Source organism: Homo sapiens, chromosome 3 (genome assembly GCF_000001405.40).
Source record: "Homo sapiens chromosome 3, GRCh38.p14 Primary Assembly".
NCBI lineage: Eukaryota > Metazoa > Chordata > Mammalia > Primates > Hominidae > Homo > Homo sapiens.
Window position 1 is genome coordinate 83389883 of NC_000003.12, and position 26127 is coordinate 83416009.

The following is a 26127-nucleotide window of genomic DNA, read 5'->3' on the forward strand; positions in this document are numbered from 1 at the left end:
AACAAAATTAAAATATGTTATATAACAATATGAAGGTTAAGGTAAATTAAATTTTACGCAGACTTTCTTGAGTCTTTCTTGCTTCCCCGCTAGTCCTGGAGAAACAAGCTGCTGTGCTGTGAACTGCTTATGGTGGACACTGTGTGTCAGGAATGTAGGCTGTCTCCAGACAATAAGGACCACTTCTGACCAACAGCCAACAAAACACTGAATTTTTTTTTAGCAATATGAATGAATGTGGAAGTGGATTCTCCTTCTGTCAAGCCCATAGATGAGAATGCAGCCTGCCTGACAAATTTACTACAGCCTGAAGTGATGCTAAAGCAAAGAACTAAGCTAATCCATACCCAACTCTTGACCTGAAGTAACTGTGAGACAATAAATATGTGTTGTTTTAAGCCACTAATTTTATGGCAATTTGTCATGCAACAATCAAAAATTAACACAATTCCTTTCATTTTCCACTGATTTTAACCACATTTTTAATTCTATTCTCTCTGTCTCCTAACAGCAAGCATTTCTGGACCTTCTCTTTGCATATTTGCTCTTTTCTCAGCTATTGCCTACTCCTACATAATTCTGAGGTTAAGATTTCTTTGCCCTTTTCTTTCCAATTCCAATGTGGCAGGTTAAGACCATAGCTATTTTTAACCTCTCCCATACTAATGCAACTAAATGCAATACAACTATGGCATTAATAGTTATAGACAAACTGGTAAAAATGAGAGGATACTATTTAGAAAAGACCTCAGAATAGAAATTGTGATAACAGTAAAGCCTAGTTGAGTAGTCTTAAATAATCTATCACAATGTACATAAAATCACATCATTTTAATTTTACTTTATTGGTTGTAGAATATGCCAATATACTTTTTAAAATGTGACTTCACTAAACACCTTCAAGATCATTTTAACAGTATTACTTTTTACATGAAGAAATTTAGATTCAGAAGGGCTAATATTCCCAAAGTTAAACAGCCAATTAAATGCTACAGCTTACACTGTAATCCAGACCTATAGATGGCTATGTGTATGATTTCTTAATTAAGCCAGTAATTTTCAATCTGTACTCAGTAAATCTTCTAAATGTTAACCCTCCTTTTTCATAGTATACCACTAACAATCTAATCTTCTGAATATTTCTTTTTTTCATCAATTTTACATATTTTGATTTTGTCCTTATCAGAATGCCATTATCATTATATAATGTTTTCAGTTGTTAAACATCTTTAAAGCCATTGTTTAATTAATGCTGATTTCATCATTTGATTATGATACAGCAGTGTTCTATAACAAATTTTATGATAGTTCATCTACATTGTAATGGTTCAGGGGCAGTGCTTGGTAGACGTAAAATAAACATAAGAGAAATGTCTCCTTTCATTGTTCAACTGTTAGATGAATGTGTAATCTCTTTGACTTTAAGCTGGTCTAGCCTTATATTTCCCAGCTAGAAGGTAGTCAGTGTATGGAATCCTAGAATTAACTATGACTATGAGTAATAACTATTAAGTATCATGTTTGCATATGAAGAACTTGAAGCCTAGAGAGGGAGAGATACGTTTTAGTGATACTTAACTGAATATATAATCAGTAAAAAAAGATTTGATATTTTAGCTTTAGTATTCTTTACAATACTAATTACATAATCAAGTTTCCCAATGCAATATTCGTTTGAGAGTCTTCCTCAGGACAGATAAATTGATTACAGTACTAAGAATTAATTATTTCAACATAAAGTGGAAATAAATATTGGTTGAAAAAAGTTTAAATTCAATTCTGCCAGTTAATTGAAAGTTTTATTCTTTCATCAGGAGGCTATATCTTAGGTATAAATGAAGAAATTGATGCCATACTTGATGTTTCCAACAGCCCAGGATCCTAAAATAAACAGAAATCAGTCTTAATTATTTAATGTAGATAGTAAGATTTCTACAACATGATTAATAGGATAGAAGGAGTTGAAATCTGTGGGCTAATGTGTGACTATTATAAGTTTCAAGATAAATCTACCATACCTAAATTCAAAGGTCAGAAAGCCCCTGTCATTACTACTACTACCATTTCTCTCACTGCAGCTGCCTAAAAGCCATGAATCTGAACCAAGTCCTGGAATGTGAAGTCTGACAACCACAAAAAAACTATATCCTCGGAGCTTGCTTGCCACTCTTCGCGGCCATGGGAAGAAGCCCTCTTATCACCTCTACTTTTTATAATTCGTGCAAGTGCTTCTCATTACCAATACCTCACTTAGGTTACTTTTAGCTTCAGAGGATCTGAGAAATGCCATTTTAAAAATACACTTGCCCTGTTGTAACAGAGAATTTAAAAGGAAAAAGGAAGAAATGTCATAAACAATAAACCGTTTTACAGATAAAAAAATTTATCTCTACCTCAATATGGAACATGAAAAAACAGAACTATAATATAGAGAGAAAAATAATTAAAATTGTGTAAGTCTAGTTAAAGATAACTAAAATTTTATTCCACTGGGTTGTAATTATCTAAATCCATTAACTGCAAAACAATATATCTTTCTCATTCACATGTGTAAAAAAAAGTGTCAACATACAGAAAAATTTAAAATTGCTGAATTAAACTTTATTATTATGTTTTGTATTAGTAGACTGCAAACTTATACAATTACAATTTTTAATATCAGTCTTCTTTTTTCTAAGATGGTGTTGGAGGCAGTGTTAGCATGTCTCTCCCACTTGGAAAGACAAAATAGTGAGTAGAGATTCATACTGTAAACTTTTTTTCCAAGAAGCAATGCAGGAACTTAATAGGAAAACTGAAAGAAATCACAGAACCTTTGAAAGAAATGACAGGCTGCATCCTACACTGTGAGCCAGGAGAAAAACTGTAAGTCTCCAGAGTGCAAGAAGGGGAGAGACTGCCTCCAGGATATGAGCCCCCATGGGAGAGCCTGGGAATCCAGCCCACAGGGGAAGGCCTTAACCCTTCTCAATGTTGGAACTCAATGCTGAAATAGGGAGTAGTGGGGAATATAAAACTAGGGACAACAGCAGGAGGAGCACTGCATGCATCACCAGTCTCCAGCATGGACTGAGGGAAGCCATTCCTGGTCTGCGTCCCAGGGAACCTTGTGGAAGGCTGTTAGAAACTCAGGCAGTGGTTGAACATTGAGAAAAGCTCACAACTAAAATGCACAATGTAATCTCAAGTGAGGATGAACTCCCTTGTCCAGACCTGGGGAGCATGTGGCAAGTGTGCTGCAGCCATGAGCAGAGGAGCTGTACACCTCACTGTGTGGGTAAGCAAGGAGGGTCACAGCCTAAAAGCTGGGGTTCCTGTCACCATGAGAAATGCTTATGGCCTGGGGCAGTTTTGGGTTCTGACTGTAGACTGCCTGGAATTTAGCTAACTCTTGCTAGTGAACACTCCAGATGAGAGACCTGCTTTGCCAAGTCTATGAAAGTTGGGTGAGGCTTACTTACTGTCACCTGCTACTCCCCACTCCCTGCATGAATTCTTCTGTGCAGCGGAGGCAGCTACAGTCCTCCCTGGAACATTATCACAGTGGCCAGAGAAACACCCTGTGACTCCTACAGGAGCCTCTGTTTGTCCTGCTTGTGGAAAGACAGACTTTGGACCTGCCTGACCCAACCCCACCTGGCTTTTCGCTTTCACGCATGCTGGTAGCTTAACACAATGGACAGAAATTTTGAAAACACTGTGGCATGGCCCATTGTCTGAGAAAACAGTAACTACCCTGGGTAACATAAGGCAAACACAAATCCCACCACTACTACTGCAGCTGGCACTCTTTTGCAAGTGCCACCTCCTGGCTGTGGGCCAACTGACAAGAGTCCATTGTGGAATCTACAAGTAGTATAACAGTGTGCCTAGAAGGGAGAAAACTTATGTGCGACCATTGCCTGCACCATCCTGGCTAACCAGGAGGTCCTAAGTCTGTCCACATGACCAATTCATTACTACTGCAACTGGAAATTTGAGAACCCTAACATGCTAAGGCTATTTATAACACTATCTCACATAGTCAGTGTTACTCTTTTGCCACCCCCATCAGAGCAGGAGATGGTACATACTTCTGGGAGCCTTGAGGACAAGTCACATTACTGGCTCCCTTACAGACATTCCCCAGCATCAGCCTGCAGCTGAACCCAGAGGAGCAACAGCATTCACAGTAGTCTGGTTTTCAGGAACTAGTACTTCCAGGGGAAGAGGGAGTGTACCACATCAAGGGAACATCCCACTGGTGGGAAGTTTCTTTCAGCAGAGGCACAGTTGCAGTGCTGGATTAAATAAATAAATAAAGTCTGCAGCTTTATCTCAACAGAGAGGCAGACGTGGTGCTCATCAAGGGTCTTGGAGAAGGGTATTCCTTTCCCCCTCATCCACCACTGCAAAAACAGCTGGGGCCTCTCCCATGGAAGCTCAGTGTGGGTGCACCTATAGACAGCCTTTCTGAAATACTTCAGGGTAAACATAATTCCTGTCTACTTGGAAGATCAACATTCCTGCAGGTGAAAAAAGAAAAAAAAGTGTCTCTGTGATCTGAATAGCCAGAACACTGTGACAAGAATGCCATCTGGGAGGTAAATCATCTTTCTGCTAGCCTGACAGAGGAGCAGAGGTGGCTTTTACTCTTCCCCTGATAAGACCTCAGTGTGTTTCACTGAAAGCTTCCAGCAACCTCTGCTTTGTCAAGGCTGTGGCCTCTGCCCACCAATGGGTATTGCATTTACCTACCTATTTTAGCCATAACTGGTTTCTACCCCAGGACATTGTCCCTGCGGGCCTGAAGTCTGAAATATTCAACTCAGTCAATAAAAGACTAAATAAATAAATAAATAAATAAATAAATTGCCCAACATGGGAGAATGAGGTAAGCTTCAGTAGACCTCTGCCATTCCAACCCCATAGGAGATAGTAAACTCTCTGACACACCAAGCACATTGCTACTACAACCAGTATCTGAGAAAGTCATCATACAATGACTCTCTATAACCAATGACCTCATATGAAGACTTCATCCTTGAAAGCACCAAGAGCTGAATTAGGCTACCATAAACTATAAACATTAAAGTCACATATTTAATGGGGGGAAGAAGAAATTTTTAAAAAGAAGTCAAATAAAAAATAAATTCAATAATAATTAGAAGAAATAGTCTACCAAACGAGAAGAAATTAGAAAAATAATTTTCATAATATGACAAAACAAGATTCTATAACACCCCCAAAAGATCAGATTAATCCTCCAGCAATGGATTCAAATCAAGATAAAACATTCGAAATACCAGATAAAAATTCAAAATGTTGACTATTAAGCTACCAAATGAGATACCAGAGAAAGGTGAAAACCAAATAAATAAATTTAAAAAACAATTCTGGATATGAATGAAAAAATTTTTGTAAGACATAAATATTTAAAGAAAAGCCACTAAGAACTTCTTAAATGAAAGACATATTTAGGAAATTACAAAATGCCATGAAAAGTTTTAACAATAGAGTAGAAAAAGTAAAAGAAAGAATTTCTGAGCTCAAAGACAAAGCTTTTGAATCAACCCAATTAGACAAAAATAAAGAATAAAAAGAAACAAACAAAGTCTCCAAGAAATAAAGGATTATGTAAAGTGGCCAAACCTAAGAATAATTGATGTTCCTGAGGGAGAAGAAAAAGCAAAAAGTTTTGAAAACTTATTTGAGGGAATAATTAAGGAAAACTTCTCTGGCCTTGCTAGACATTTACATATACAAATATAAGAAGCTCAAAGTACTCCCGGGAGATTAATCATAAAAAAATACTTTAGCAAGGATTATAGTCATCAGTGTATCCAAAGTCAATGAGAAAAAAAGAATACTGAGAAGAGTGAGACAAAAGCACCAGGTAATCTATAAAGGAAAACCTATCAGACTAACAGCAGACTTGTTACCAAAAAACCCTGCAAGTCAGAAGAGGCTAGGTTCCTATCTTTAGCCTCCATAAACAGAATAACTCTTAGCCAATAAGACATGAAGGAAAAATAGAGTCATTTTTAACAAACAAATGCTGAGGGAATTTATTACTACTAGAACAGCCCTACAGGAAATGCTAAAGAGAGTTCTAAATCCTGAAGTAAAGAGTATTCACCAATATAGACTCTCTTGAAGGCATAAAACTCACAGGGCCTAAAAAATAAAAACACAGTGAAGAAATCAAAGTATCTGGGTAATAACTAACATAATGACTGGAACAGTTCCTAAATCTCAGTATTAATGCTGAATATGAATGGCCTAAATGCTCCAGTTAAAAGATACAGATTGGCAGAATGGATTAAAAAAAAAATCACGAGCCAAATATCTGCTATCTTCAAGAGACTCACCTAACATGCTAGGATTTATATAAACTCAAAATAAAGGGGTGGAGAAAGATATGCCAGGTAAATGGAAACCAGAACTATAATCTAGAACAAATGGACCTAACAGGTATTTTCAGAACATTCTACCCAAGAACTACAGAATATACATCCTTCTCATCAGCAAATGGAACATTCTCCAAGATAGACCATACGAAAGGCCACAATACAAGTCTCAATAAATTTAAAATTATCAAAATCATATCAAGTATCTTCTCAGACCACAGTGGAATGAAACGAGAATAAACTACAAAAGGAACCCTCAAACCTATAGAAATACATGGAAATTAAGCCACTTGCTCCTGAATGATTTTTGGGTTAATGATAAATTCAGGATCAAAATTTAAAAATTCATTGAAATGAATAACAATAGAGATACAAGCTATCACAAATTTACAACTTAATGTCACACCTGAAGAAACTTGAGAAACAAGAACAAACTAAACCTGAAGCTAGCAGAAGGAAATAAATAACAAAGAGCAGAAATAAATTGAAACAAAAAAGTAGAAAAAGCAATGAAACAAAACTTGGTTTTTTGAAAAGACAGACAAAATTGTTAGACAATTAGCTAGATTAACCAAGAAAAGAAGAGAAGATTCAAATAAATTCAATTATAAATGAAACTAGAGACATTACAGTTTATGGTACAGAAATGCAAAAGATTATTTGAGACTACTATGAACACCTCTATGCATGCAAACTAGAAAATCTAGGGGAAATGGATAAATTCCTGCAAACATGCAACCCTCCTGGATGAAGTCAGAAATAAATAGAAACTGTGAACAGATGAATAACATGCAGTGAGATTGAATCAGTAATTTAAAAATTGCCAAGGAAAACAAAAATCCTAGGGCCAGATGGATTCAGAGGTGAATTCTACCAGAGATTAAAAGAAGAATTTGTGCTGCTCCTAACTGAAACTATTTGAGAAGATTCAGAAAAAGGGAATCCTTCCCAACTCAATTTATAAAGCCAGTATCACCCTTATACCAAAACCAGGAAACGACATCATAACAACAAAAAAACTACAGACCAATATGCCTGATGAACATAGATGCAAAATTCCTCAACAAAATTCCAGCAGCAGCTCAAAAAGGTAATATATCATGATCAAGTGGGTTTTATCCAAGGACAGCAGGGATGGCTTAACATGTGCAAATCAATAAATGTGTTATATCACATAAACAGAATTTAAAACAAAATCCACAGGAACACCTCAATAGATGCAGAAAAACATTCAATAAAATCCTGCATCCATTTATGATAAAAACACTCAATAAACTAGGAATAGAAAGGACTTACCTCAAAATAATAAAAGCCATATATGACAAACCCAAAGCCAAATTTTCCCCATATTACTGAATGGGGAAAAGTTCAAAGCATTCCCCTTGAGAAATGGAACAAGACAAGGATGCCCACTTTCACCACTTATAGTCAATATAGTACTGGAAATCCTATCCACAGCAATCAGGCAACAGAAAGAAATAATGAGCATCCAAATGGGAAGTCAAATTATCACTATTTACCCATGATGTGATTTTATAGCTAGAAAACCCTAAAGATTCCTTCAGAAGACCCCTAGATTTGATGAACAAATTCAGTAAAGCCTCAGATTACAAAATCAATGTGCACAAATCAGTAGCATGGCTATGCACTAACAGTGACCAGGCTGATAATCAAATTAAGAGCTCAATCCATTTTACAACAGCTGCGAGTTAAAAAAAAAAACAAAAAACAAAAAAGAACCTGGAAGTATACTTAACCCAGGAGGTTAAAGATGTCTACAAGGAGAACTGCAAAACACTGCTGAAAGAAATCACAGATGACACAAGCCAGTGGAAACACATCTTATGCTCATTAATTGGAAAAATTAATATTATGAAAATGATTGTACTGCCCATAGCAATTTACAGATTCAATGCAATTCCTTTCAAGATACCAATATCACTTTTCACAAATAGCAAAAACAATTCTAAAATTCGTATAGAAACAAAAGAGAGCCTGAATAGCCAAAGCAATTCTGAAAAAAGAACAAATCTGGAGGCATCACATTACTTGACTTCAAATTACAGTAGAAAGATATAGTTATCCAAACAGCATGGTACTGGTATGAAAGCAGGGACATAGACAAATGGAACAGAATAGAGAACCCCGAAATAAAGCCAAATACTTAAAACCAACTGACCTTTGATAAAGCATACACAAACATAAATTGGGGAAATGACACCCTATTTAATAAACGATGCTGGGAAAATTGGCTAGTCACATGTAGAAGAATTAAACCAGATCCTTGTCTCTAACCGTATACAAAAATCAACTCAAGATGGATCAAATACTTAAATCTAAGACAGGAAACTGTTAAAATTCTAGAAGATAACCAAAGAAAACTCTTCTGGATACTGGGCTAGGCAAAGAATTCATGACTAAGAACCCAGAAGCAAATGCAACAAATAGAAAAATAAATAAATAAATAGGACCTAATTTAACTAGTATAGTAAAAGTAACAATCATCTGAGTAAACATACAGCCCACAAAATGGGAGAAAATATTCACAAACTATGCATCTAACAAAGAACTAATATCTAGAATCTACAAGAAACTCAAACAAATTGCAAAACAATTAATAATCTTATCTAAAGGTGGTCAATGATATGAACTGACGCTTCTCAAAAGGTATGCAAATGGCCAACAAATATATGAAAAAATGTTCAACATCACTAATCACTGGGGAAATACAAATTTAAACCACAAAAAGATATCATTTTACTCTTGCAAGAATGACCATTATCAAAAAGCCAAAAAAGAATAGTTGTTGGCATGGATGTGGTGAAATGAGATCGCTTGTATACTGCTGGTGGTAATGTCAGTTAGTACAACCTGTATGGAAAACATTGTAGAGACTTTTTAAAAATTATTTTTTCTGAAACAGAGTCTTGTTCCATTGCCCAGGCTGGAGTGCAGTGGTGATTACAGCTCACTGTAGCCTCGACCTCCTGGGGTCAAGTATTCCTCCTGCCTCAGTCTCCCAAGTAGCTGGGGCTAGAGACACATGCCACCACACCCAGCTAATTTGTTTGTTTTTTTGTTTGTTTATTTTTAGAGATGTGGTTTCCCATGTTGTCCAGGCTGGTCTAGAACTCCTGGGCTCAAGCAATACATCAATCTTGGCCTCCCAAAATGCTTGGATTACAGGCTTGAGCCACCATGCTCAGCTGAGATTTCTTAAAGAATGAAAAGTAGATCTACCATTCAATCTAACTATCCCACTACTGAGTATATGGGAAAAAGAAAAATTAATCCAACTCAAGATGAGCATTCTATTCCTTGTGAAGGAGATAATTTTTACAAAAGATAAAACTTCACATTTTGAAAAAAAAATTTCTGTATTTCTATTTCTTTCTCAACAGAATATTATTTTTACTTAAAAATCCTGATTTTTTCCTGTTCTGTTGTAATATCTTGCATTATATAATTATATTCTTAAATAGTTCAGTATTTATCACAGGAGTACATTGCCTAACTTAACATGTAACATTTTCACTTTACAACTCTTCAAGTATTTACTTTAGGGGTATTAGGTACTTCCTTTTGTATACATCATGGTACAAGGTAAAAATATTATTTTTGAAATGTTAATTTCCAAAAATAAATTAATTTGAAGTAACTTTATGATTTAGATTACATTGGTACCATTGATAGCTAACTTTTCACCTTTTTGCACATGGAACATATTTGTCTTAAATTCTAATTTTAGTACAAATCATTGAGACACCAACAGTAGGATAATTTTTAATTTAACTTCATATATACTCAAATACATAAAAATCCATTGATTTATTATTTTAAAACATATTTTTGTCAGGTAAGCATTTTAGTGCTTAATATTCTGAAATGACACCAAAACTTTCAAAGTTTTATTATAATAATTATATATTATAAAAATGTTAAATTCACTGAGCTTTTAAAATAAGATTTTTAACCTCACAGTAGTAAATTTGAAACTTATTTAGATCTTAGTGGTTATCTACTTTAGAAAGATATATAGAAAATGACAGCTATATGAGATTGCTGACATGTTAATTAGTTTAATTTTAATAATCATTTCACAATGTATACATATGTCAAAATATCATGTACATCATTAATATATATAATTTTGTCTATTATACTTTATTAAGCTGGGAGAGAATAAGAAGAAAATTAAGAGCAACAAAATCCAGTCTATCGTTGTTGGACATTTGGGTTGGTTCCAAGTCTTTGCTATTGTGAATAGTGCCACAATAAACATACGTGTGCATGTGTCTTTATAGCAACATGATTTATAATCCTTTGGATACATACCCAGTAATGGGATGGCTGGGTCTAATGGTATTTCTAGTTCTAGATCCCTGAGGAATTGCCACACTGTCTTCCACAATGGTTGAACTAGTCTACAGTCCCACCAACAGTGTTAAAGGGTTCCTATTTCTCCACATCCTCTCCAGCACCTGTTGTTTCCTGACTTTTTAATGATTGCCATTCTAACTGGTGTGAGATGGTATCTCATGATAGACTGGATTAAGAAAATGTGGCACATATACACCATGGAATACTATGCAGCCATAAAATATGATGAGTTCATGTCCTTTGTAGGGACATGGATGAAGCTGGAAACCATCATTCTCAGCAAACTATCACAAGGACAAAAAACCAAACACCGCATGTTCTCACTCATACGTGGGAATTGAATAATGAGAACACCTGGACACAGGAAGGGGAACATCACACACCGGGGCCTGTTGTGGGGTGGGAGGAGGGGTGAGGGATAGCATTAGGAGATATACTTAATGTTAAATGACGAGTTAATGAGTGCAGCACACCTACATGGCACATGTATACATATGTAACAAACCTGAACGTTGTGCACATGTACCCTAGAACTTAAAGTATAATAAAAATATATATATACATATATATACACATATATATACATATATACACACATATATACACATATATACACATATACATATATACACATACGTACATATATACACATATATACATATATATATAAAAGAGCTACAAAAAAAGTCAAATAGTCAAACAACGAACAAAGATATGCAGGATACATATTTAAGTCAAAACATAAATAAACAATCCAACAAATATTAACAGATCATCTGTTATATTCCACATATGATACTCAGCACTTACATCACACCTAATAATTGGGAAATATAATTTCGCTCATAAGTATCTTAAAATAAAGCTTCAAAAATATAACTCAATACATAACATAGCAACATAAAGTGCTAAGGATTTTTAAATAAATTTTTCAGTAGAATAATACCAAACAAGAGAAATGAGTTAATCTAAGAGTAGTTGATGGGCCATAATGAAGTGGGGACTGAGACATTAAAGACTAAGTGATTTGTATTTAACAAAAAATGAAAATAAAGCCAATAGATACAATTATTTTGGTTAACTCTTCATTATTATACATGCATGCAAATTTTTTTATTAAATGACACAAAGAAATTCTCTAAAATATTTTGTGTTACTATTCCTGGATTTTATTGTCTTTGATTCATTCATATTGCACAATGTACAAATGTCCATGCTTCCTAAAGACTCAAGAAAAAAATAAACAATATAAGCTTAGGGGTATCACCAAGTTGACTAGAGGAAGTTTGACCTGGTATCTATTATCCTTGAAACCACCAATGGCAATAAAACTCCATTCAGTGGACCATCAGGGTGCATAAACTGCAGGCCTAATTTGAATGTAATAGCTGAACGCCGCCACTCATGACTGGCTAGCTTAGAAAGTTTTCCCCAATTATTTTCAATAACCTGAAAGTAAAGTCATCCTGCAATTTAAGTGAATGGATACTCTGTTCCTTACTTATCAAGTTACAGTAAAGTTTTATCTTATTGTGGCATCTCCTCAGTACATCACTTGAAATTTTCTGGGGGATGAAACAATATTTTCTGTTAAGTAAAATGACTAAAAAAATTCTACTCAAAAATTTTAGGAGTTTAGCCATGTGAGAAAGAATTTTATCTGAAAATCATTTCATAGTAAAGCTTCTCCTACATTTGCAGATAACTTTACATGGATTAAATCAATAACATGCTTCTGAATACCAAGTGTAAAAATTATCACATATTTGATGAAACTGACTTCAAAATGTTCAAATTCTGTTAAGTCTAATTTTAGGAAAGTATTCTTATTTGTAAATGTTTTAAACAATCAGTGCAAGATTCCACCTAATTTAAATTTTATTTGGTGGAGGATTACTTTCTCTTTTATCTTTCTTTTTTAAAATCACTTTCTAAAGCGACTATTACCATGGTCACAGTTATATTCTGCAACATGAGCAAAAACATTTTTAACTTAGAAATGTGTCCAGTACTATCTGTAAAGTCATTAAATATAGACAGTCTTACTAGTAACTTTTTTGTACTCCCTAGGTTTTTCTCTAATGATGAAGAACAGGGTGTGATTTCACTGGAATATGGTGATTACAATATTCTCTTACCTGATAAACATGACATGCTATAAATTTGATTGTGTAAAGTTAGAAAAGTTCTACACTTTATCTCATTATATCTTTTCCTGTAGCTACTCTACTGAAATAAAACCTTCAGTTTTTATATGCACAACTTTTCCATCACTCAAAATCAACTTAAAACTATAAATGTCCTATTTACCATTGTAAGTTTGAAGAAGAGTCAGAAGCAGTTTACAACTAAGATGAGCTTGAGTTAAACGTTTTTAAGCATTTAATTATTAAATTATTAAATTTTTACACAAAATTCCATACATATATACCTACACGTACTGCATCTTTAATAATTATTTAAATAGTTATTTGCAATAAAATCTTAGAAAATGGATTATTCAAGTATACAAGTAAATTCCACAGAAGTTAATCATCTATGCATCAGGGTTATTACATAACTATAATTATGACTTTCCTAGAAAAATGCTTCAGAGTTAAAATAACCAATATTTTGAAAAAAAAAATTTAAAAAAATCCTCAGAGTAATAAAACATCTATTGAACTTCTTTCTCTAAAAATTGAAATGCACTTAAATTACAGAATCTCATAATTCATGTGCAAAAAATACTCAACTATGAAGATTAAATGTTTGTTAAAGGGAAGAATTGGTGTTGGTGGAATAACCACAATAATCTACTTACTTTAAATTACAGGCTTGAGAAGAGATGAAACAGCTTCTCATCAAAGGTAATTCACGTTCAAATATCCATTCTGGGCAAGCCGAGTGCTCATCTACTTTCCCAGCTAAGATTCTGATGTCAGTGGCTGCTGCCATCGCGCTGACTGCTGCAGGGAGACAGGGTTGGGGCTGCACACTCCGTGGAGCCAGTGGAAGCCCCACCGCTTCTAAGTTGGGGCAGGAGCTCCCTAGATGCCTCTGCAGCCATCCAAACCATGGATACCGACCCAGGTGTCCTACTCTATGGAGCAGGCAGGAGCCCCACCCTCCTGGGTGGGGCTGCAGTTGCCCAAACTGTGGCTGTGGATGGGAGCCTCCCTAAGCTCTTGGTAGGGCGCCAGGAGCAGGCAGGGTCTGCCCTCCCAGGTGCAGCTGCAGCTGCCTCTCCTGTCTGCAGACCTGGGCCTCCAGCTCTAAGGAGAAGGCAGGAGCCCGGCCCAAACTGCTGCTGTGGATCTGAGCCTCCCTGTGCTCTTCAGGGTGGCTAAGAGCAGGCAGGATATTGCCTCTAGGGTGCAGCTGCAGACGGGGGCCTCTCACTCCACGGAGCAGGAAGGAGCCAGGGACAAACTGGACACCCGTCCCTTCCAAGCTGACAGGGCAGGAGCACCCCAGGTGCAGCTGCGGCTGCCCTACCAGGTGCAGGACCCGGGCGTCTCTGCAGCCTTCACTCTCAGGGTCGGGGAAGGCCCCCAGTCCGGCTTGAGGATGTCTGCTCTCCCTGCCTGGCCTCTCTCCCCTCCAGGAACCTGCTCCAACCTCAAAGCAGGATAGAGGCTGAGCCCCGGGGCCATGAATGGCAGCTAGAGGAAAACAGATTCCTGGGCGGAAGTAGGCAGGTTCCCAGGAAGCCTCACCTTCAGGTCAGGGAGAGCCTGAAGGCTGGGGGCTCTGGGCCCACCCATGGCCGCCCATGGACCAATCAACGTGCACTTCCTCCCCTTGAGGTTCATAAAACGCTGGGCTTAGGCAGAGCAGAGCAGAGGATGGCCAGAGGATGAAGAAGGCAGAGAGAAGACAGGAGTACCAGCTGCAGAGAGGAGCTACTGCTTCTACTAATAGCTGGAGATGACGGAACAACCAGTTGCAGAGAGGAGCTATCCTCTCTGCTGAGAGCTGCAAAGACCACCTGCTGGCAGAGAGAAGCCACCCTCTCAGGGCCTCCTTTCCGCTGAGAGGTTGGGACAACCAGTTGCAAAGAGGAGCTACTCTCTCCAGGGCCTCCTCTCTGCTGAGAAATGAATACTTGATGGATGATCTACAGAGAGAAGCACTATGGGACTTCTCTGAGTTGTTGTAACACTCAATAAACCTCATCTTCATCTTGTTCTCCCTTCACTTGTCTGCTTACTTCATTCTTCCTGGGTGCAGGACAAGAACTGTGCAAAGGCACTGTAGCCACAGAAGTTTCTGGCCAGAAAATTGATACCCCAAAGATCCCATTAAAATTCCAGGAGCAAGACCTGTGTGCTGGAATAAAACATGGGCGGCAAACTGAGGAGCTGTTCTAGACAATAAACTGTTTGAAATGGAGATTTACATGCAGGAAGTTATTGGCTGGAGTTCTCTCTGAGAAAATAAAAATGTAAGATAGTGAGGGGATTAGGATTAGGCAGAGGCAAAAATTTAACTGAATACACTAAAAATGGAGGCCTCAGAAAATTCTACAGGGAGCTTTGCTGAGTTGTTTCGATTACAGTAAGAGAGTCAGGTATGGGTCTTTGAATTCCACATATATTGCCCTTTGGACACAGTCTGCCCTGGTTAGGAATGCAAGGTTAAGTGAGACGCTATTTTCTTCAATGTGTAAGATAAACTTCTACAAGTCTCCAATGTTTCCGTGAGTCTTGTGAGTGAGACACTAATTTTTATTTTTTTTTTGGACTATCTTTCCAAGGATGTTACTATAGTAAACATTCTTGGAAGATAGAGATTGTATCTCCCTCTGGAGCAAAGAGCAAATATACTTACTGCCCAGTATAGTAAAGAGAATACTTCCAGCTAGAGCCAAGAACAAGCATGCTAATGCCTATTATAAAAGATTCAATTGTTGAGTCCTTTTATGTGATGCAACCCAATATATGTACATACATTATCTGTACTGCTTTATGTCACACTTTAAAAGTTGCTGTTGATATTTTGATTCCTGCTGTTACAATGAGTAATAATGTATCCTTTGTGTCTGAACCAGGAATCTTATGCCTTCTATTAGCAATTATGAAATTGTGGCAGGCTAACTTGCTAGCTTGAAAATAGAGTATAATTTCACACTTTTCAGGATTCTCGACAGTAGTTAGCAGCAAGCACACTTTTAGTAATTGGGTGAAGAAGTGTCTTGATCCTGGAAGGAAGACCTGTGCAGTGCATCTTGGAATCCATCAAAACAGCCATGAGAAAATCTAGTAGTAAACATTCAGGGAAGAATCAAAATTTGTAATTTAGACTGATAGTATAAAGAAAACACCAATACAGAGAAATTCACCTCCATGATCCAATCACCTCCCACCAGGCCCCTCCTCCAACACTGAGCATTACAACTGGACATGAGATTTGACTGGGGATACAAATTGAAACCAGATTACTTACACATAATCAAATATTCATTTGAGTGCTAAGAATAGAATAATATCTTCTGAAATCCTGACTGATAGGTTTTTTCACCACAAAATTATAACATATCAAAAATAATTATATACATAAAAAGGAATGTCAGAAAAAGAATTAGGTGTTGAAAATATATTGACACTTTTATAGAACTATTTTATAATCTGTTTTTCTATTTGGAATAACTGATTTGGGTTGCGTGGGGTTTTTTTAATAAATATTGTAAAAAGTTAAGGTATTACTTAGTGGCCGGGTGGCTCATGCTTGTAATCCCAGCATTTTGAGAGGCTGAGGCGGACGGATCACCTGAGGTCAGGAGTTCAAGACCAGCCTGATCAAAATGGAGAAACCCTGTCTCTACCAAAAATACAAAATTAGGCATGGTGGCACAGGCCTGTAATCCCAGCTACTTGGGAGGCTGAGGCAGGAGAATCCCTTGAACCCGGGAGGTAGAGGTTGCGCTGAGCCAAGTTTGCACCATTGTACTCTAGCCTGGGCAACAAGAGTGAAACGCTGTCTAAAAAAAAATAAATAAATAAAAAAAAAAATAAAAAAAAAAAAGATGTTACTTAGTATTTGTACATATAAAGAGAAGGGTTATATGCATTAATATTTCCCAAATAATAAAAAAGTAAAGTATTTAAATGAACTTTGAACTTAAATTGTGGAAAAAAATAGACAATGTGAGAAATAGGATATTGAACCTGAGAAAAGCTAATTATCATTTCTGTAGTGAAAATAAGTTTGTAATTACCCAACCAAAATTGTAAGGGAAACATTTTATTTCAAATTCCTGTGGTGGTTAATTTTTGCTGTGAACTTGACTTTTCATCAAATATTCTAGTTGTGTTATGAGGATGTTTCTAGATGAGATTAACATTTGAATTGGTAGAAGATTGTCCTCCCTAATGTAGGTGGACCTTATGCCATCAGTTGAAAAGCTGAATAGAACAAAAAGGGTAAGAGAGAACTCTTCCTACCTGACTCTCTAATCTGGGAAAGCAGTGTTCTGCCCTTAAGTGGAACTTACACCATCCACTCTTGTCCTCAGGTCTTTGTATTCAGACTGCAATTGCACCACTGATTCTCTTGGGGCTCCCATTTGCTGACTGCATATCTGGGGATTTCTTAGACTAAGGAATTATGTGGGTAATCCATCTCTTTATAATAAATTATATGTGTGCAACTATACATAAGTACATATACAAATGATATCATAATATTATGGGGTATGTAAATTAAATTATAGAATAGAATACATAATATATATTATATATCTTAATAGGCTATAATACTATGTATACACTTGTGTGTGTGTGTGTATATATATGTGTGTGTGTATATATATATATATCTTTATTATTGATTCCATTTCTTTGGAAAACCCTAACAGGCATATCTCAGAGGTATTGCAGGTTTGGTTCCAGACTACCACAATACAACTAACATAGTAATAAAGAAAATCACACAAATTTTTTGGTTTTCCAATGCATATATGTTAGGTTGACATTACATTGTAGTCTATTAAGTTTGCAATAGCATTATGTGTACAAAAACAATGTACATACTTTAATTAAAAATACTTCATTGCCAAAAACGCTAATGTTCATCTTCGCCTTCACCAAGTCATAATCTTTTTGGTGGTGGATGGTCTTGCCTCTATGTTGACAGTTGCTGACTGATCAAGGTGATATTTGCTGAAGGCTGGGGTGTCTGTTGCAATTTCTGACAATACGACAACGATGAAATTTGTTGCTTCAATTGACTCTTTCTTTCATGAAAGATTTCTCAGTAGCATGTGATGCTGTTTGATGGCATTTTACCCATATTCTGAGATTGGGGTCAATCCTCTTAAACCCTACTGCTCTCTTATCAACTAAGTTTATGTTATATTCTAAATCTTGTGTTGTCATTGCAACAATGTTTCTAGCATCTTCACCAGGAGTATATTCCATCTCAAGAAACCACTTTCTTTGGTCATCCACAAAAAGCAATTCCTCATCCATTAAAACTTTATTAGGAGATTGAAGCAATTCAGTCACATATTCACATTTCACTTCTAATTCTAGCTCTTTTGCTATTTCCACCACATCTTCGTTACCTCTTCTACTGAAATCTTGAACCTCTCAAGGTCATCCATGAGAGGTGAAATCAACTTCTTTCAAATTCTTGTTTACGTTGATATTTTGACCTCCTCCCATGAATCATGAATGTCCTTAATGTCATCTAGAATGGTCAATCTGTTCCAGAAGGTTTTCAATTTAGTTTCCCATCAGAGGAATCACTATCTATGGCAGCTACATCCTTAAAAAAATGTATTTGTTAAATAACAGAACTTGAAAGTTGAAATTACTCCTTGAGCCATGGGCTGCAGAATGTTAGAAGGCATAAAAATGAGAATGAAAAAATGTATAAATACTTTTTATCTGAGGAATGTTTGACTTTTACATTTTAAGGCCCAAAGAGGCATTAAAAGCAGACAGCAACCATGTCCTACTTCCCATATTGAAACTGCTTATCTCTTGAAATTGCTTGTTAATGCTCGAAGTAGCTACAAATTAAGCTAAGAATGCCACATGCCAGATACTGTAACCCACTCTTTACAGCTCAACAATGTATGGCCAATCATGAATCAATGTTATTTCTGTAAACCAATGAGAATCCCTGACAAATTTATATCAGTCTACTCAGTATTTCTTCTTTTACCTTTAGTTATATTTTATTTATTTATTGTTTGGGGGACAGAGTTTTGCCTTGTTTCCCAGTCTGGAGTGGCATGAATGCGGCTCACTATAGCCTCAGACTCCTGGTTTCAAATGAACTTCCTGCCTCAGCCTCCCAAATAGTTTGGACTACAGGCATGCACCTCCACACCCAGCTAATTTTTAAAATTTTGTAGAGATGGAGTCTCATCACACCCAGGCTGGTCTCAAACATCTGGGCTCAAGTAATCCCCTCACGCTGACCTTCCAAAGTGCTGAGATTACAGGCATGATTCGCCATGCCTGGCCTCTTTTGCCTTTAAAAACCTGGTTGTAAGGAAAGACAAATGGAGCACTCTCCAAGGCAACCTGAAAGTATGTCCAGGTAACTGTCCTCAACCTTGGCCTTTATAAACTCTCTATATTATTTTTTGCCCCAGCTTCTTGCCTTAGATATGTAAAGACAATATTAATCTCTCTGTACATCTCCACCAGAGTTCTTTTGTGATCATGTGCATTCTCAGTGAGCAGTAATATTTTGAAAGGAACCTTTGCTTTTCTGAAAATTGGATCTAAAAAGTAGGCTTAACATTCAGTAAACCATTACGTAACAGATGCGCTGTCATCCAGGCTGTGTTGTCCCATAGGCGAGTAGATTTATCATAAATTCTTAAGGACCCTAAGATTTTCACAACTGAGCATTTAGCTTTAACTTAATATGACAAGCTTCATTAGCTCTAATAAGAGAGTCAACCTGTTCTTTGTAGCTTTGAAGCCAGGCATTGACTTTTCCTCTTTAACTATGAAAGCTCTAGATGGCATCTACTTCCAATATTAAGCTGTTTAATCTCCATTGAAAATCTGTTGTTTAGTGGAAAGAGCTTCAATAGTAATCTCAGCTCGACCTTCTCAATAATTTGTTGAAGATTCTACACCAGCACTCGCTCCTTCACCTTGCACTTTTATGTAATGGAGGTTTCTTTCCTTAAACCTCATGGACCAACTTCTGTTAGCTTCTAACCATTCTTCTGCAATATTCTCACCTCTCAGCCTTCACAGAATTGAAGAGAGTTAGGGACTTGCTCTGTAGTTGACTTGGCTTAAGGGAACGTTGTAGTTGGTTTGATCTTCTATTCAGACCAGTAAAATTTTCTCCACATGAATAAAAATCTGTTTTGTATAAAGGTTCTACATAGCTTAAAGCCACAATGAGATTAAACTAAATGTTTTTGTTTAATATTTGATACTTTCATATCATTCATGTTTTCACTGAGTAGTACTTTTAATTTCCTTCAATAACTTTTCCTTTGTATTTACAACTTGTCTGTTTGATGCAAGAGACCTAATTTTCAGTTCATCTTGGCTTTTGACATGCCTTCCGTACTAAGCTTAATTATTTATAGCTTTGATTTAATTTGGGAGATGTGCAACTCTTCATTTCACTTGAACACTTTGAGGCAATTGTAGTGATATTCATTGGTCTAATTTCAACATTGCTGTGTCTCAGGGAATAGGGAGGACTGATGAGAGCAAGAGAGATGGGTGAATGGCCAACAGTGGAGCAGTCAGAATACACACAACATTTATTGAATAAGTTCACCATCTTATATGGGTCAGGTTGATGGCTTCCCAGAGCAATTGCAATAGTAACATTTAAGATCACTGATCAAAGATCGCTGTAACAGATATAATAATAATGAAAAGTTTGAAAGATTGTGAGAATTACCAAAACATGACACAAAGGCACTAAGTGAGGACATGTTACTGGAAAAATGGTGCCAATAGACTTACTTCATGCATGGTTTATGCAAATCCTCAGTTTGTGAAAAAATGTACTATCTGCAAAGCACAACAAAGTGAAGCACAATAAAAGAGGTACTTTAGTTAGCTTGATATAGAACTGAATATAAGAATTGTTATTTGGGGAAGATTTGAAATGGTCTGTGTTATATAACCTTCAATTAACCTGAATGAGTTTTTCAAATAATCTGTTCTTATGAATTGAAACATATTTTTTCAATATTATTAATTTATTGACCACTAAAACCATTAGTTGCTTGCCAAATTGTCCATTCACAGCTATTTATAATTTCTTTATTTACCCCATTCACTGCATTTTCAGTTTCTAACTACACATAACTTTCTAATTAATATAATATTATCTCCTTAAAAAGGTACGCAAAAAACATTTTCCATCTCTATGGTTATGGCTTACATCTTTTGATACTGAAATAGGAGGATTTATGTAATACATTTCCAGACAATATTTTTTTAAATCTCATTGTGACTTTAAGTTATGTAGAACCTTGGTATTTTCACAATTACTTACAGAATTATATGTCACACAAAATTTTATACCCATTATTCTGTAATAGAATATATTTATTTTGTTTATAGTTAACATATAATGTTACTATAATAGCATTTAATATAGTCACAAAGGAAAAAAACGTTTAATATTTGCTGCTGATACAAGCACATTTTAATCTCTCTTTCCATATTACTCCAGGCTTCTTTGTTATCACTGTCCTGTAAAAAGAAGTTTGACCTATTTTCAAAAATCCACTGCAGACTGCATATGCAAATGTCATCTTTGCTGTATTATTTTCATAATCTTCAGATGCTAACACATAGGTTCTCTCACACTTTGCTGAATAAGTTGTACTATGCATAGTATTTTAATATAATTATTTTTCATCTCATACTTACGTAGCCTAAGAGGAAGTTAAGAAAACCCAGGTACCACCAAACAAACAAAAAAAATAATTAGATGATCTTCTCTCACAGGACAATTTTACATTATGTGTAGGCATACATCTAGTTCCTGTGAGAAACATATGCCTTCTCCTGATCTTGGATAAAGGAGAGTGTTCTAAGAATGACATAATTGACAAATACTGGTCATTGAAATGCTGGTTTTGTTTTCAAAATGGAGGGAAGCCTTGATTTTAGTTAAGGATCTCATAGTTTCCTGGGATGCTGAGGAACTTAACAAGAGCTCAAAAGCAAATACACTCAATTATAAAAGGAGAATTGATAACAAATAACTCAGAATTAAATAGCAATCCTAATTTCAAATTCCAAAGCCCTATACTTTGGAGATGAGTGGGGTTTTGAGCAAATTTAGTCTTGAGATGATTTTTGTTACACATATTTTGTGCCTTACTCTAGAACATTCTGAACAGGTGATATTAGTTACTCTATAAATCTCTTTTCACTTACATTGAAAGTTTGAATTTAAGCCATGTTCTCTGAGGTAAAGGATCAAAGGTTTTATCTACTAAGCCACCAAACCCCTCATTTCAAGTATTTTTGAGTCCGAGTATTTCTTTGTGACAGAAGACACTCATGAGGAATTATATGCTGTGCCTGAGGGTGAGGAAGTACAAGAAAGACAGCCTTATTAAGAGTACATGTGCTGCAGACTGACAGATTTTGACCTTCACAATGACACAAAGGCAAAGATGAATGCAAAAGAGCCTCACTGCTGTTGAACATTGTAACAAGACAATCTTTAGGACCTAAAAATATAAAATAAAAAAGAGAAGGAAAACTGTTTATGAATATAGGGAGAATGAAAACAAGTCTACTATTGGTTTGAGAGAAGTAGAAACTCAAAGATAGAAAACTTTAAATACTGTTGGTCAAACAAGATATTAAGGATAGAAGAAGCAAAAGGGCTGATATTGTCTAGTATTGTCTGACAAATTATTATTTCAACCGCTTTTCTCCTTTTGTAAACAGAAATGATTATTATTCTTCAAGAAGAAATCCACTAACAGCATCCTTTTCAGGTAACTTTTTAAACTTTTTAAAATTATATTATCATTGGAAATAAACATACCAAGGCTTAAGCACCAAAGTGAAATCAGCAAAAATAGATAATAATCAGTTAATTGTACTTTAATTTTAATTAATTTTATTTGTCTTCTTTTTATTGTAATTTGTATTCTAAATTAATGCAACAGTGTTGTGAAAACAAGTTAGGAAGAACCCACCTGATGTCATATACTCTCTAGTGAGCAAACAGCATTGTGCAGTAGAATTACAACCAGAATAACTCAAACGTTTAGTTTTAAGTAAAAAATATTGTCACATGTGTCTTTTAATTTTTACTAATGAGTTGCAATAGCCTCCAGATCCTCATTAGCAGAAAGTTGTCTCCTTTTTCCTGTCTTCTCAACACTTTGCCCAAAGCATCTTGTCTCGGGTTTTGTAATACAGTCTCATCTAAAGTGGTTTAATTCTCCTTTCAAATGCCAGAGAAGAGACAACACCAGAAAGCCCACTGGCACCCATTGCTTTTCAACCTGCCAGAGTCCTCATTAGCAGCCACCAATTACAATTACTTACAGTAATCTCTCAAAGATATCTTTTTATCTCAAAATTGAAAAAATATATAAATGAAAACCACCAATATAAACTAGATAAATTTAAAACATAACTAAGCTTAATTCAAAATATATATTTTAGAAATCCATAATGTTTATATTATGAAATTTCTCAAGAATGGGTTTTTTATTTTTCCATTTTTTTCATTTCCAATAATTTCAATAACATTTAAACAGAATAATATTAAATTAGACTCTATTAAAATTTGTTAATAAAAATTTTAATTATTGAAAATCATACTAGTTAGAAGCAGGAATTAATTCTGTATAATGCCTGTATAGAAAAATGTATGATCATTTTTACTGGCTAAATATATATCAATTATCCTGTCATAAATAAAGCAACTATCTGTAAATTTAAAAGATATCGAAGGAGTTTAGAAATTGCCATGCCAAAATATGCCACTTCAGTATATTAATTATTTTTCATTGAAAGCAATCTTTCAGTGCTATTATTAAAGTTGCTACTCAATTATTTGGAAAGAGCTTGCAGGAAGAAAGAGGACTTAAATTCCACACTCACCTTGCAAAGCGAGTCTTTAAAAAAACAAACTTATGACTCTGAGAGTACCTCAAAGTCCACCCATTTTTCTTGCCAACCACAAACCCTTCCCTATTTGTCTCCAAATGTTCGTAGATAATATAAAAAGCCAGGACATAGGAACAACAATTATCTTGCACTTAAATGAAAAAAAAAATCTTAAATAATCCCTTAGAAACCAGAGCCCTTGGAGAATAATGTTTTCCCCTTCTCTCAGATAATTCCCCATTGATTGAGATGGTCATCTAATCCTTCACTGTATACCCAGTACCCACCATTAAACTTAAAATGGAGAATTGGGAATTGGAGTTCTTCATTGACAATGATAAAACTTTTTCTTCCATCAGTTTAGAAATTTTCTATCTGTCACTTCTAATTTCATTCAAGCTGTGGAATTCTCTGGGCAAGCACTTTATTGCCTATATCTCAGGCTAACCCAATATCCTCAGGACCTCTCCACATCCATGCTGCCTTTTTAGCTTCAGACTTCTCACCAGCAAATATTTTAAATAGGGATTTGTCATGTAAATGTAATGCCACTATACAATGTAATGAGGAACACATTTTTATTTCTCTGCCCTCAGACCAAACCTCAAACTTCCTGCTTTTCCTAATAGAGAACCACCTCAATTTAAAATACTCTAAAATCATGCAACCTTACGAGATGTTCCAGTTATTTCTTGGCCTCACATGCAAATGAGGTTGGATTGCTACTGAGTGCAGAACCCATGAACATTGTTTAAAAATGGAAAATATGTATTAATAGCTTATCTCCAATATTAAAATTCACAAAATAGTTAGAGTAAGCAGTGATATTGTCAACTTCTTCAAATTCATGTATAATATGTGAATTAATGTTAATTTGATCATATTAATACCAAATGACAGTCCTTAATACAGTACTTATTACATGCTTAATGGTATGCTAAATTCTTTAAATGGATTATCTAATGTTACTCACACAACAACTATATCAATTGATGCTACAATTAGCCCACTTTACAGATAAATTGAAATGCAGAGATATTTATACTGTGTACCTTGACCAAATTCACAGTCAATAAATTCAATAATCATTCTTATCTCAAAATACTCTGACTAGTCTGCGTAAGCACTTAACTACCAGGCTGCAACTTTACTGGTAAAAAAAGAGGTGATGTGGATCTACAATTTCATACAGTTATTAAGAATTAATGTGTGTCATGTAACATCTATAAAAACAGCTAAAATATTATATTTAATTCTACCCTTTTACAAAGTCACTTAAACATTTAATGGTATGTAAATTTAGAAATGTATTCTGCAACAATCTGGAATAAATAATAAATTTTAGGTTATTAGCATAAATAATCACAGAACATTTGGTATTGATAATACTTAGAAAGCCCTTCTAAACAAAGGCAAAAGAAATAAAAAAAAGTAACTGCAGTATTTCATCCATAACCAGATGGTCAGGCATAACAAATCAGGAGTATGTAAATAACAGCATTGCAAGAACACATGAAAAATGACTAGTTACTCGACATCTACTTATACGTAGATGATCCCCATGTAGACAAGACAAAAATATGTACTTTTTATTGAGACTAGTGCGGTCCCTGGAGTTGCCAGTGTCATTTTAAAGTTCATTTATATAAAGGTACGTAAACAGATGTGTGAAGAACATCTGGGTCTTGTGCTAAAATCAACTATAAAATATAGTACATATGCAATTCAAATGCACACAAAATAAAATGGGAAAATATAGTCGACTGTAAGTTACTGAACTCAGCACCATTATTCTCCATCTTGATGCCTACCGCAAGTATTTTTTTTCTATATATTAGCAAACATTCAGTAAAAAGTAATGTACAGGCTCCAAGTCAACCAATGCCTTTATAACAACAAAGTAACAATTTTAGAAAGAATACATGGGTACATTTTATATGGAGATAAGTTTAATAGAGATAGCTATATTCATCCCAACAAAAATTTTATCAAAATATTTGCTTCAAAATAAGCATTTTTGATATATTGAGGAGAGATTTTCAGCCAAAACAGGTCACCCACAGCTAATGATATGGCTTTTTTCTTTATGCATATATTATGATTGGCAAGCTGCCGATGGGCTTGTGTAAATAATGAACAAAGCAATGAATTTGAAAATTGTAAACCACTGGACCAAGCTGCTGTCTTAATGGCAGAATATTAACTTCCACACCTGGTCCTCATTCTGATAATCCTGAAGTATCTTTATCAGACTTATTTACATTGTTCTTTCTTAATATTTAACACTAGTC

The 26127-nt window shown here is 35.4% G+C and overlaps 2 long non-coding RNA genes across 3 annotated transcripts in view; one reads left to right on the top strand and one right to left on the bottom strand.

Moving 5' to 3' along the window:
- Nucleotides 1-1780: 1780 nt before the first annotated feature.
- Nucleotides 1781-14455, bottom strand: LOC105377181 (uncharacterized). The gene is made up of 3 exons (XR_941003.3): nt 14370-14455; nt 13573-13717; nt 1781-1881 (listed from the first exon to the last, which is right to left on the bottom strand). It is a non-coding gene; the product is annotated as an uncharacterized LOC105377181 (long non-coding RNA).
- Nucleotides 14456-22660: 8205 nt separating this feature from the next.
- LOC105377183 (uncharacterized) overlaps nt 22661-26127 on the top strand; it is a 39119-nt gene continuing 35652 nt past the window's right edge. For both annotated transcript variants that reach the window (XR_941006.1, XR_941005.1), the window contains exon 1: nt 22661-22710. This is a non-coding gene — a long non-coding RNA (uncharacterized LOC105377183). The remainder of the gene's footprint in view (nt 22711-26127) is intronic.